We start from the raw sequence: 14,825 nt of genomic DNA, 5'->3' as shown, positions 1-14,825 counted from the left end.
TTGTTATATAGGCTGAGGCACACAGTTCACCTGAGGTCAGGAGTGCGAGACCAGCCTGGCCAATATGGTGAAACCTTGTCTCTACTAAACATACAAAAATTAGCTGGGCATGGTGGCACACACCTGTAGTCCCAGCTACTCAGGAGGCTGAGGTATGAGAATCCCTTAAACTCAGGAGGCGAAGGTTGCAGTGAGCTGAGATAGTGCCACTGAACTCCAGCCTGGGTGACAGAGCGAGACTCCATCTCAAAAGAAAATAGTATGCATTCTATATCTGCTTAAAAACTGTTTAAATTCTGCTTAAAGGGTGAGAGACAGAGAGAGGAAATATGAATAAAAACATGGCCATGTTTTCTTGTGATTGAAAACGTGAAGTATCATCCATTCAACAGGCATTTATTAAGCATCTACTTAGTACCTGCAAGGCAGTGGACTGGGAATTTAATCAGAATCTGAAACCAACACTGAGGCCAGGCATGGTGGTTCATGACTGTAATCCCAGCACTTTGGGACATCAAGGCAAGAGGATCTCTTGAGCCCAGGAGTTCAAGACCAACCTAGGCAACACAGGGAGACCCTGTGTCTAAAAAATATTTTAAAAATTAGGCAGGCATGGTGATGCATGCCTGTGGTCCCAACTACAAGGGAGGCTGAGGTGGGAGGATTACTTGAGCCCAGGACATTGAGGCTGCAGTGAGCCATGATCCTGCCACTGCACTGCACCCTGGGTGACAGAGCAAGAACCTGTCTAAAAAAAAAAAAGAAAAGAAACCAGAAAATGTTACTGATACTACCCAGAAGAATTAAAGGAAAAATTGTTGACATTGAAATATAAGGTCTCCTTAAATCATTCTTATCACAGCTTATATTTGTCAAGGATAAAGGTTTCTTTGAGGTAGGGAATGAATAACAATAATATTAATAGTAATAATAATAATAGCCAATCTAAAGTGTTTAGTTTGTACCAGGCAATGTGCTAAGCAGTTGAAGTGCCTCTTCTCATTCAGTCCTTATTCAAATAACACTAAGAGGGTAGAAAGTGGGGACCATTACTATTTTCATGTTATAGAGGAATAAAAAGGGCAAGTGATTTGCCCAAGGACTCATACAGCTGGTAGAAAGCAGAACCAGAATTTTAGTCCAGCTCTGTGTAGCAAATTCCATGCAAACATTTGTTGAACACCTATTATGTTTAAGATCCTATGCTAGATGCTGTGGGAGAATCAGAGAAGACTCAGATGTGGAACATAACCTCTTAGAGCTCCCTATCCACCGGAAGAGATAAGCACACGAATAACTAACACACAATGGAATGAAGTAAATGCGCTTCGACAGACACCCAGAGTGCAGGCATTTAGAGGAGAGCACAGGATAGGGGCCAAGGGTTTGGCCCTCTAAAGACTCGCTAAAAAATCAACTCATAAAAGGCAGATTAGCTGGTGAAAAGGCACACACATTTATTTAATGTGTGTACACAAGAGCCTTCAGAATGAAGACCCAAAGATACAGGGGAAATTGTTCATTTTTATGCTCAGGTTCAACAAAGTATGGACAGCCCCGTAGAAATATGATTGGACGAAAAGACTATGATCTAATGGTAATAAACACAGGGGAAACCCAGCAAGATCTGTCTATCTAGATGTTTCTTGGCCTCTCTGAGCCTGCATTTCTTCCTCTGGTTATGGGGTAAGGCCCTCTCTGGAATGAGACCTCTGGAATAATCTGCAGTCAAAAAACGTAAGTCACATAATTTCTTTATGACCAGTTTTTACACAGAACATTTCTAGGTTTTATGGCTGGCTTTCAAGAAAAAGTGTTCCGGTTTCTCTGACCCGCCTTGGGGAAGAGGGATTCTAGTTTCTATAGCTGGCCTGGAAGAGAATGGGATGGAGAGACAGGAGGGCAGGAGAACATCAGAGAAAACTTTTGCTTCTGAGGTTACTCCCAAGGCCTTCACTTTGCAGTACTGTTTTCTGAGCCCCAGTAACTGTCATACTCATTATTGGTGTGGGGAGAAGCGTGACAGGGAGTCAGGAATGGTTCCATGAAGCAGGTGGGATCTGAGGTAGCTTTGGCTGGTGGATAAGATGTAAACAGGCAGTGATTTGGAATAGGAAGGCCATGCACAGTTAAACGTATGGCAGGAGGACCAAGTAAGGCATATTCAGAAAGCATTGTTCAGATGAACCACCTGCTAAGCAGGATTTACGAGTGCCCACTCGGCTGGGTGCAGGGGCTGAGCACTTTGGGAGCCTGAGGCAGGCAGATCACTTGAGAACAGGATTTCGAGACCAGTCTGCCAACAAGGTGAAACCCCGTCTTTACTAAAAATACAAAAATTAGCCAGGCATGGTGGCACATGACTGTAATCCCAGCTACTTGGGAGGCTGAGGCAAGAGAATTGTTTGAACCCAGGAGGCAGAGGTTGCAGTGAGCCAAGATCACGCCACTGCACACTGCACTCCAGCCTGGGCAACAGGGTGAGACCCTGTGTCAAAAAAAAAAGAAAAAAACAGTGCCTACTAACCAACCCTTTGTATAATTAGATACTGCACGTACGGTAGAGGGAGCAGTTCAACAAAAGTATAAGTCATTTGGCCCTGCCAATGAAGACAACACAGCATAGAGGGGAGGAAAACAGAGGTTATCTCAGAGAGACCAGAGATAAGATCCTGGGTCCACTATTTAGTTGCAAGCCATACACTCTTGGACAGTAACAATTACTTGTAAAGCTGGGCTTCCTTCTATGTGAAATGGGAGGATGACGTTGAATCAGTGTATTGCAAAATGTCTAGCACAAAAGAGGGAAAGCAAACAAGTTTTCATCTCATCAGCCTGGACCAACCAGTCCAGGCTGCATGGAGCTCTAGGCTACATGGAGCTCTAAGGTAGATGGGATTCAGAATCTTTTGGTGTTTTTCCTTATTCTTGCTGTCATCTTAATGGATGCGTGCCATGATCAATTAGCGCTGTCTACTCAGAGCAAGGGGTAGACTGTGGTGTCACCTCTGCCACATATTTGGCAACAGGAGTAGAAGCTTTGAAAGTCCAATTTCCCTCTCCTTCCTTCCTAGAAGGCGCTGAGATATCAAAAGTTAAGTTACAACTAAGCGATTATAAAGATAAGACTAACACACACTATGGTTAGCAGACTACCAGACACAGCCGCTCTGTGTTTAACGCTCTGGCCAGACTGTATGTTAGGGCTGAAATTGGAGGTGGTCAGTAGTAGTGTGGACCAGAAAGTCTGAGATGACTTCATGGAGATGGGGTGTGAGGGATTGGACGGTGGAGGAATAGACCCCAGAAAGGGAGAACCGCATACCCAGAGGCCTAGAGGCAGGTCCATCTTTGGTGAATAAGGGAGGCAGCATGAAGATGGGCCTCATGGAGGGCAGGACGATCCCCGGGGAGTATTAGGAGGTGGACACTGGAGAAGTAGAGTGGACCATTTGGAGAGCCTTGAAATCAGGCCGAGATCTTAACTTGATGGGCAACAGGGATAGGAGTGAGGAATAGCACCATATTAGTTGGCTCAGGCTACCATGAGTCTGTGCTACCCACAGACTGGGTGGCTTAAGCAACAGAAATTTATTTTCTCACAGTTCTGGAGGCCAAAAGTCCAAGACCAAGGTGCCATTAGGGTTGGTGTGTGGTGAGGCCTCTCTTCTTGCAGGCAGCTGCCTTCTTACTGGGTCTTCTCAGGGTCTTTCTTCTGTGTGTGCTCAGAGACAGAGAGAGCTCTCTGATGTCTCTTTCTCTTCTTATAAAGATATCAGTCCTATCAGATGAGGGACCCACCCTTATGTCCTCATTTAACTTAAATTATGTCCCTAAAGATCCTATCTTCAAATATACTCACATAGGGTTAAGACCTCAGCATATGAATTTTGAAGGAACACAATTTAGTCCCTAATAGTCATATAGACTCTTTATTTTTTGGAAGGAATTGGACTTTTTAAATGGAAATATAGCTCAAATATGGCATTAAAGATACTTGCTCCAGGCCAAGTGCAGTGGCTAACGCCTATAATCCCAGCACTTTGGGAGGCCGAGGCAGGTGGATCATTTGAGGTCAGAAGTTCAAGACCAGCCTGGCCAACGTGGCAAAACCTCATCTGTACTAAAAATACAAAAATTAGCTGGGTGTGGTTGCTTGGGCCTGTAATTCCAGCTACTAGGGAGACTGAGGCAGGAAAATTGCATGAACCTGGAGGCGGAGGTTGCAGTGAACCGAGATCGTACCACTGCACTCCGGCATGGGTGACAGGAACAAGATTCCATCTAAAAAAAAAAAGATAAAAATATACTTGATTAAATTTTGGCATTTCTGGAATAGAGGGAAATATCTATGTTTAAAAAGACTTATATCGTATATTACATCTATCTGATGAGAAATAAACATGTATATAAAAGTTTCTAAGACCAGAAAGAAAAGTGCCTATGTTACAGTGAGGGAGATGGGGAGGTAAAAGATTATTTAAGGGGAAAAAAAATCAAGACCAAAGTATACCAAAATGATAATAGTCCATAACAATTAATTCAAATTCTACTGTAAGAGCTGTCCTTTCTCCTCCGTTTATTTCTTTGTTCAGTGTATTAGTCTGCTTTCATGCTGCTGATAAAGACATACCCAAGACTGGGCAATTTACAAAAGAAAGAGGTTTAATGGACTTACAGTTCCACGTGGCTGGCAAACCCTCACAATCACGGTGGAAGGCAAGGAGGAGCAAGTTACATTTTACATGGATGGCAGCAGGCAAAGAGAGAGAGATAGGTTGTGCAGGGGAATTCCTCTTTTTAAAACCATTAGATATTGTGAGACTTATTCACTATCACAAGAACAGCATGGGAAAGACTTGCCACCATGATTCAATTCCCTCCCACCAGGTCCCTCCCACAACATGTGGGAATTCAAGATGAGATCTGGGTGGGGGCACAGCCAAACCATATCATTCAGTTATTTATATCAGTACACACTCATGGACATGTATTTTATTCTACAAATTATAATCCAATACTGTCATTATTTACTTGGTTGTTCAGATTGACCACATCTAGCCATTGGGAGCTCCTTCATGTTGGCTTCTGTGTCCTATCAATGTGCCCCCATCACCTTATAGAGAACTTCTCACTATTTAGCATCACAATCTTGTTCCAGTCTTTTCTTAGAGTTTCCCTACCCCAGCCCTGGAATCACCCATTACTCTAAGAGGTACAGGGTTTTTTTTAACTGGAGAATGGTTTAGAAACCAGCATCTAGATATTAGCTGTGCTCATTGCTACTGGAATGTCATTGCTTCTAGACCTTATTAGCATAGTCAGAAAAAATATGTATATGTACATGTACCAATATCTATATACCTATTAACAACTATTAGTTAATATGGTTACCATCAATCAGTTTCAGGGCTCATTTTAGCATTCCCTTTTTTCATTTGTAATGTCTTTCTCTGACAGTAAGAAACCTGGCTTTCATTATCCACAATATATTTATTTATTTGTTCAATCCTACTAGCTTCAGCATCACTAACTCATATCCCCTTTGAAAAATAAATTTACTAACTAGAGGACAGTATTTGTGTAGAGTTCTTTTTCATCTGTAGCCTTGAAGTATATAGTCAAAATTCTGTTTCCCTACGTTATTTATGTTAGTTTTTTCCCTTTGGTGTGGTTATATTTTTCAGTAGTGATAGAGTTAGGTTCATTTGTTACTGTTAGTATCCCATTTGGATTCCTCCACATCCAGATTGGTTTGAATTATTTATTTTTTGAGTATGTGAACCATTAACATGATTCTAAAAGTCAAAGCTATACAGAAAGTTTCTGCTTTTGTCCATTTTTGTTCTTAGTTTTTGAATTTCTGGTTCATAGTGGTTTTTCATATCCCCAAATGCTGGCTTTAGTCTGTTTAAATAGTTTGGAGGAATGTCTTACAGTTTTCTTCGGCCTCATGGTGATTTTTCAGGGAGTAATTTTGTTTGTTTTTGTTTTTTGTTTTTTTGAGACAGAGTCTCACTCTGTCGCCCAGCATGGAGTGCAATGGCGCGATCTCAACTCACTGCAACCTCCGCCTCCCAGGTTCAAGTGATTCTCCAGCCTCGGCCTCCTGAGTAGCTGGGACTACAGATGCCCGCCACCACGCCTGGCCAATGTTTGTATTTTTAGTAGAGATGGGGTTTCGCCATGTTGGCCAAGCTGGTCTCCAACTCCTGACTTCAAGTGATCCACCTTCCTTGGCCTCCCAAAGTGCTGAGATTACAGGTGTGAACCACCATGCCCGGCCCAGGGAGTAATTTTTATGAGTTCAGGCATGTTGAATCTAGTTTTCTGATTTATATAATGACTCCGTATAGATTTATTCATTTTCCCCCTGTTCATTTCAGTGATCTGGGAGTGGTTTACCAGATGTCTAGTTCAATGGCACCTTTTCTACCAGTATAACAATGTCCAGGGTTTTAGTGGATTCTTTTTGGAGCTGAAGGGAGGGTTATATGCCATCTGATTTGGGGGGTTATTTTTTGTCTTGTAGAATCTTAAATGGTCCCTTTTTGTTTCTCGTCCCCTTCATCCCCAAGTTCCAGGGGACACCTCTCCTTTCCATCTCATGGAGACGATGGCACCTGCCATGTCACGTCATCTCTCAATGTTTCCTCCAAAACCAACCAAGAACAAGATGAAAGAATAAAGCAACACAAAAAACACACCCTCAGCATAACGTGAAGATAGGGAATGCCTAAGCTTCAAAATAACGTAAGAGAAGGAAGGAAGGCAGGCAGGCAGGGAGGGAGGGAGGGAGGGAGGGAGGAAAGGAAGAAAAGAAAAGAAAGAAGGACCCAGTGAGCAATCTTGCCCATCCTGCCTCACCACAAGGCTTTCCTGTGGGCATGGGCTGGCCTGGAAAAACTGGGGGACAGGAAGGGGGGAGCCAGCGACCAACCTAAGGCTGACCTAAAACTGCTGTCAAAAGAGCATGAAAATGCAAACCAATAAAGGGTGTCCCACTAGAATAGAGCATGGCATATCTTCTGGTGGATAAAAAGGGCAAAAAGGAAGAGAGACACACCCTTTGGCAATTGGACCCTCCCACAAGCCAAAAAAGAACCGAAACATCAGGAATACCTCACTAGAGATTCTTTAGCAAATGGAAGACTTGACATAATTATGACAGATTCAGACTTTTTTTCACAACTCAGTGATGAGACCCCCTCCTCCCACTTTTCCTTTTTCACCTCCTTCTTCTCGTCCCCCATTATCCAGCAGCAACCAGGCCTTTCTTTGCATTTTCTTCAGGAAGAGGTGAGGCTGCAGAAGGCTGGGGATGGGGGAACAAGAAGGAGTCTCTTACTGGCTTTTGATTTCAAAAATCTACTTATTTGGATCCTTCTTAAGAGAATGGAATAGACTCATAATTGAAGCAAAAGATTTGGGCAAAAACACGATGGAGATTCCTTTCTCCCCTCCCCACGCTCACTACCACCTCCCATCCTCAACTCCAACCAAAAACATATATAAAATATACATATAGTTTTTTCTAGGCTGGGAGGAGGGAGACAGTCAGGGGGAAAATTGTGAAAGCTGGGACATCAGTGGATCCTAAAGAAGGAATTCTCTACCCTCCCACTCTCAGGAGTCCAGAGGGGTGTGAAGTCCTAGAACACCTGTGGCCACTTCATAGGTAGAACTGCCTCTGGACTAGAGGTGAGACCCCAGACAAGAAATGGTTATGTGGCATGTGTAGATTTACGGTCTCAGAGCTTCCCCGTGTCCCAGCATGGTTCAGGAACAGTGCTACTGTGATTGCTGTGCGCGGAAGTCGTAATAGAGTCACCTTCCCTGAAGAGGTTAAGCAGAGAGGAATGAGGAACATCACCCAGGCAAGCACAGTGTTAGAGGTTTACAAGGTAAGTGTCTCCAGGAAAGGCAAAACCAATGCTCAATCTGACTGAGAACCAGACCATCCCCGGTGGATGTCTGCACGGCTGGACAACATCAAAGGCAAGATGGAAACCTGCAGGACCAGAATGTCATCCAAGGGAAGAGCAGGGAGAAATGATGAATATCTCTTTCCTGGCTGAGTGAACTTGATTGTGAAGTGGGGAGATCCAGTGGCCTCAGCCTCATGTGAGAGATTCAGAACGTGGCTCTGTAGCACTGCTTAGGGAGCCCGGGCAGGCAGGGGAGTGGGGGGATGAAATGCATTCCCCGTGAAAAGCAGCACTTGTTTGTGCTGCAGCATCTGAGCAGGACAGGAGAGGCCAGGAGAAGGGGATCCCACCACTCCTGGGATTCTCAACCTGATGAGCTGTTATCAGACCAGGCTGTGATGACAATAGACGTGATTACAGCTCTTCCTCTCTTCTCTTGGAGAAACAGCCCACTGCCAATCCCCTTTCTTTGTTGATTGCCCAGCAGCTAGATTCCTCCGTTTTACTAGAAGCTGAAGGGGGACCAAGGACAAGGAGAAAAGCAGAGATAAAGGGGAAAGAGACTGAGGCGGAAGAGCTCTGGGAGTAGGGCTCTTTCCTTTTTGGCTGGCTGGTTCCCAGAGGGTCCTCTGACTCTCATTCAAACAGCCCAGGCTGCCTGCATCCCTGGTAAAGTGGATATGCAATCACCCGGGCGCCAGCCGTAGCTGGCCCTTCACGTTCCTTGGAGCAGAGCGACCAGGACAGTTTGCTCCACGTAGGATGCAGATCACATTGTACCACCATGTGTTTGGTTACACGCCTACTTCTCCTATTCCAGGGGGGATCTTTTTTTTTTCTTTTGTATCTCCTTTTTTTCTCTAGGGCCCAGCTCCTTCTAAGTAGACAGGAAGTATTAATAAATACTACGTGAATAAATTACTTAACAAATATCTAACCAAGCCCAGCACATGGTGGCACATGCCTGTAGTCCCAGCACTTTGGGAGGCCAAGACAGGAGGATCGCTTGAGCCCAGGAGTTCAAGACCAGCCTGGGCAACATAGTGAGACCCTGTCTCAAAAAAAAAAAAAAAAACCTAGCCAATCTCTAGGACATGTCACCTTTCTTACCACATCTGAACTCACTTGGTGAGCTACTCAATAAAACTACTACCAAGAAAAGTAAGAATGCATGCCCTCCTCCAAAAAGAGAACATAGAAGGATAGAAGGAAGTAATCCCCAATCCAATGAGACAGTAATTGTCCCATTCTGGAGAATCAGGACAGTGCGGTCTCCTCCACAACAGAACCTCAGTTTTGTGGTCTAAATGTTTGTGTCTCCCACCCCCACAACTTCATATGTTGAAATCCTAACCCCCAAAATGATGGCATTAAGAAGCAGGGCCTTTGGGGGATGATTAGATCGTAAGGGTGTGGTCCTCATGAATGAGACTGGTTCCCTGATGAAAGAGGCCCCAGATAGCATTAGGAGATATACCTAATGTAAATGATGGGTTAATGGGGGCAGCACACCAACATGGCACATGTATACATATGTAACAAATCTGTACATTGTGCACATGTACCCTAGAACTTAAAGTATAATAAAAAATATATTAAAAAAAAAAAGAAAAGAAAGAGGCCCCAGAGAGCTAGCCTGACACGTCTACCGTGTGAGGACATGGTGAGAAGTCACCATCTACAAACCAGGAAATGGGCTCTCAATAGACACCAAATCTGTGAGTGCCTTTATCTTGGACTTCTTAGCCTCCAGAACTGTGAGAAATAAATTTCTGTTGTCTATAAACCACCCAGTCTGTGGTACTTTGTGATAGCATTCTGAGCAGACTAAGACCCTCAGTGTTTAATAACCTCCCTTTGGCTTCTCCCTCAAGGAATGACAACTCCTGCCGGAAAGGTCACCGAGTGGCCCTAGCACCTTGGGACTTAGACATGTGGTCTGCAGACCACAGCATCCACATCACTTGCACACTGCAGCATCCCGCACCGGGAGCTTGCTAGTGATGCAGAATCTCAGACTCCACCCGAGGCTTGCTGCAGGAAACTCTGCACTTAAAAAGGGGCCCGGTCCAGGCATGGTGGCTTATGCCTATGATACCAGTACATTGGGAGGCTGAGGTGGACAGATTACTTGAGCCCAGGAATTTGAGACCAGCCTGGGCAACATGGCAAGACTTTGTCTCTACAAAAAATGGAAACATTAGCCAGGTGTGGTGGTGCACACCTGTAGTCCCAGCTACTTGGGAGGCTGAGGTGGGAGGATTGCTTTAGCCTAGGAGTTCAGGAGCCTGGGAGGCTGCAGTGAACTGTGATCACACCACTGCACTCCAGCCTGGGTAACAGAGTGAGACCCTGTCTTAAAGAAAAGAAAAATAGAGGCCTGGATGATCCAAATGCATATTCAGGGCTGAGAAGCAAGGCCTCAGATTACAGTGTGATGGGGAGAGCCCCAAGAGGGGGTTAGCAGTGAGAAGACTAGTGAGGAGATTGAAAGTACTTTGGGCGGCAGATGATCATTGTATCTATTAATTCTTTAACCAATTATTATTCAAGAGTCAATGAAAGAAAAAACCAGAGAGACCTAGAGTACAACATGTGACATCTGGCGCCAAAACCAGCCTGCTGAATCCCACAGTGTGGTGCACTTGAGACTTTTTAGCATACAGACATTCACAGGTGATCTAGAAGGCCAGTGGGACTTTATCTACCTGTCACTTCCCTCACTAAGTCCTTGACTACTACCAGCTGTCCCTAGGAGGCTTTTCTTAACAACCCCAGCCCCACCCCCATCCTCCCTCCACAGGAGAAATTGACCATTTCCTCCTTTATTCCCAGCACAGAGTAGGCGCTCAATAATTGTGTGCCAAATAATGAAAGTGTTGTGCTAGCAGGCACGGATCAATTAGTGACTGTAATTGAAGCTGAATGTAATTAATTATATAATTTGGGGCTGTTCAAGTTTAATTCCACTAAAATTACCTCATGGAAACAGGGCATGAGGAAGGATTACAAATAAAAGGAAAAAAGCTATCAGTAATGCTTCCACACAGTAGGCACACATTTGAGTTGGATCCCTTGCTGTCTTAGTCAATTTGGGCTGCTATAACAAGAAAACCATAGACTAAGACCAGACACAGTGGCTGACACCTGTATTCCCAGCAATTTGGGAGGCTGAGGCAGGAGGTTAATTTGAAGCCAGGAGTTCATGACTACCCTGGACGACATAGTGAGACCCCATCTCTACAGAAAATATTAGCTGGCCATGATGGCACATGCCTGTATTCCCAACTACTCAGGAGGCCAAGGCTGGAGAAACACTTGAGCCCAGGAGTTAGAGGCTGCAGTGAGCTATGATGGTGCCACTGCACTCTAGCCTGGGTGGTACAGCAAGGCCCCATCTGTTTAAAAAATTAAAATAAAAACATAAACTCATAGACTAGGTGGCTGAAACAACACATATTTATTTCTCATAGTTTTAGGGGCTGGGAAGTCCAAGATCAAGGCACCAGCAGATTCACTGTCTGGTGAGGGCCTGCTTCCTGGCTTATAGACAGCAGCCTGTTCATTATATGTCTAAAACAGAACTCATCTCTCTTTTAATTTTTTATTTTTGCAGATGGGGTCTTACTCTGTCACCCAGGCTGGACTACAATGGCACGATCATAGCTCACTTCAACTCCTGGGCTCAAGCAATCCTCCCTCCTCAGCTTCCCAAGTAGCTAGGACTACAGGCACATACCACTGTACCCTGCTAATTTTTTAAACTTTATATAGAGATGGGGTCTCACTATATTGCCCAGGCTGGTCGCGAACCCTTGGCCTCGAGCAAACCTCCCGCCTTGGCCTCCCAAAACCCTGGGATTACAGACATAAGACACCATGCCCAGCCTCCTGTGTCTTTTCTTAAAAGGGCACCAATCACATTGATGAGGGCTCCACTCTAACAACTCAATTACCTCACAAAGACACCAACTTCAAATACCATCACTTTGGGTTTTCAGGCTTCAACATACAAATTAGGAAAGACACAAACATTCAGTCTATAACACTTGCCAACAATACAAAATTCACAGAGTTGCATAACAAGGGAGTTCTGATCCTGAAGCCCATTTAGACATGAAGTCCAAAACCAAATACATTAGTACCCAGGTTATGCAGCAGTGGTCACTCTCAGCAGTGGACGTGCTCAATTTGGGAACATAAATTTACCTTGACCCATTTCTTTTTTTTTTTTCCATTGATACATTTCTTTCATTTTTGCCATCCGATATTCTTTTTTTTTTTTTTTTTTTTTTTTTTTTTTGAGATGGAGTTTCACTGTTGCCCAGCCTGGAGTGCTATGGTGCAATCTTGGCTCACTGCAACCTCCGCCTCCCAGGTTCAAGCAATTCTCCAGTCTCAGCCTCCTGAGTAGCTGGGACTACAGGTGCCTGCCACCACGCCTAGCTAATTTTGATATTTTTAGTAGAGATGGAGTTTCACCATGTTGGCCAGGCTGTTCTCGAACTCCTGACCTCAAGTGATCCACCCACTTCAGCCTCCCAAAGTGCAGGGGTTACAGGCATGAGCCACCGTGCCCAGCCACCATCCAATATTCTTAAGAATTTATAGCATGCTGAAGTTTACATCATGAAAATGACATATTAAAATTATTTATTTTGGGTTTTTTACTTTTCAACCTTATTCTGAAACTGTCCTCAGGGGTCAGCTGCCACTCAAATCCCCTGTAAATGTTTTTTCAGTTCATCCTCTAATCCTGGACACCTATTAAGGGCAATCGTCTCTAAAGTTCTTGGTTTGTGGAGGGATTTAATGATGGGAGATATGTTTTCTGAGACACTCTGTGCCTTGACCCATTTCCACCACTGAATGTTTTCCATTATTCATGCCACCTAATCTCCCTTCCACTCTCACAGACACAGACTATGTAAGAGTGAAAAAGGATCTTCAGGCATCTTTAGACCAGTAGTTTTTAGCCCAATCAGACCTAACACACCATTTTTACAACAAATGTTTGGTAATGTCCCCTTATGGTCCTGAAGTGAAATTCATAAAAATGGCAATGTACCCACACACATAATTGTTTAGTTTTTTATTGAGATGGGGTCCTGCTATGTTGCCCCAGGCTGGTCTTGAACTCCTGGGCTCAAGCAATCCTCCTGCCTCAGCCTCTCCAGTAGCCTGTGCCTGGCTACACATAATTTTTTTTTTTTTAAGATAGGGTCTGGCTCTGTCGCTCAGGCTGGAGTGCAGTGGCATGATCATGGCCTACTGCAGCCTGGACTTGCCTGGCTCAAGTGATCCTCCCACCTCAGCCTCCTGAGTAGCTGGGACAACAGTTGTGTGCTGCCACGCCTGGATAATTTTTTGTAATTTTGGTGGAGACAGGATTTCACCATGTCCCCCCAGGCTGGTCTTGAACTCCTAAGATCAAGTGATCTGCCCACCTCAGCTTCCCGAAGTGCTGGGATTACAGGCATAAGCCCCACTGCACCCAGACTGGCTACACATAATTCTTAAAGTCACATTGATACAGCAGGTTGCACTGGCCATTCAAGTGTGTAGGCTCTGCCTTGCCATTGGTTATGTGGTTTCCCAAAATGGTGAACAATAACTCCCACAGAAACAAATCATCCAACTTTCATGGTAATTGCATTCCTGAAAATTTCAACAGATACTAAAACCATGCAAAAAAATCCTTTGCCTTTACATGTAAAATGGAGTTAGGTTGTTGATTTAGTTCATTACAACCAGGATTTTTCACTACATGCATATCCGGTGGAGCATTTGGAAACCACACAGGTCACAGGAAAATTCTTTGTTGAGTGAGGCTGTATTGCCCACAGGAAGACATCTGGCATCCCTGACCCCACCCATTCAATGAGAGTAGCACTCCCCATCATTGTGATGGCCAAAAATGTCCCCGCACATTTCCAGAAAGTCCCTGGAGGCAGTACAACCCCCACTAAGAACAACTGATTTAACCCAATCTTCCTAATTTACAGGTGAGAAATCAGAAAACAGGCGAGGGGGAGATTTTCCCTAAGTGCCAGCATCAACAGTTCTCTGGACTCCCATCTGAGGATCCTTCCCAGCTCCATGAGGCAGCTTGCCAAGCTGAACACCGTGGGAGGAGACTGGACTCTTGCTCAGAGCTCTTTTGGGTTTCAGTGCAAATGACTCAGGAGGATTCCTATACCCCAGAAAATCAAACTCCTTACAAAAGAAAACACAGCTATAAGTGTTGGTGGGAAAGTCCTCTGAACTAGGAAATGTTATCGCATTAAATTAATCTTCCTAAATGAGCCCAAGATGTCTGCTCCACATCATCAGAAAGCTAGGAATGTTCTGGAATGGTGGAGAAATTAAGCAGAACATCCTCCTACCTTCATTTATGAGAGCCCTAAAACTATCCCAGATAAAGAAAGGCTCCCAGTTAGAGAGCAAAAACAGCAAGTAAGCACTACATGCCAACCCTGCTCAATCAGTAGCAGTTGACTGGTCTGCTGTGTTAGGTAGGATTCTGGGGTCCTGTCCTAGCTCAACCTGAAAGGGTGCAGTGATCAATATGTGGAGTCTGCTTTGGCCATGGTAAGGGTGGCAGCACCATGCCAGGCATTTGCCATGTCTCTTTTAGAACCCCAAACAAATCTGATTTACTTTCCTGGGACAAACGCTCACTCATTCTACCAATGCCGGTCTGTTTCATTCCATCAGTTTCCTTGTATAAAATCTGAGGCAAATGTCTCCTTTGTGATAGTTGACACTGTTGAACTGCGGGATAAACTGCTTTGCTATGTATGGTGGTACTAGGACCTCATCTCAGAATCTCACTCACTCATACGCTCAGTACGCACAAGTTGAGTGTCCGCTAGATGCCAGTCATTGGAAGTGGAG

The sequence above is a fragment of the Homo sapiens genome, chromosome 14, assembly GCF_000001405.40.
Source record: "Homo sapiens chromosome 14, GRCh38.p14 Primary Assembly".
Classification (NCBI taxonomy): domain Eukaryota; kingdom Metazoa; phylum Chordata; class Mammalia; order Primates; family Hominidae; genus Homo; species Homo sapiens.
This window is presented reverse-complemented; position numbering follows the sequence as displayed.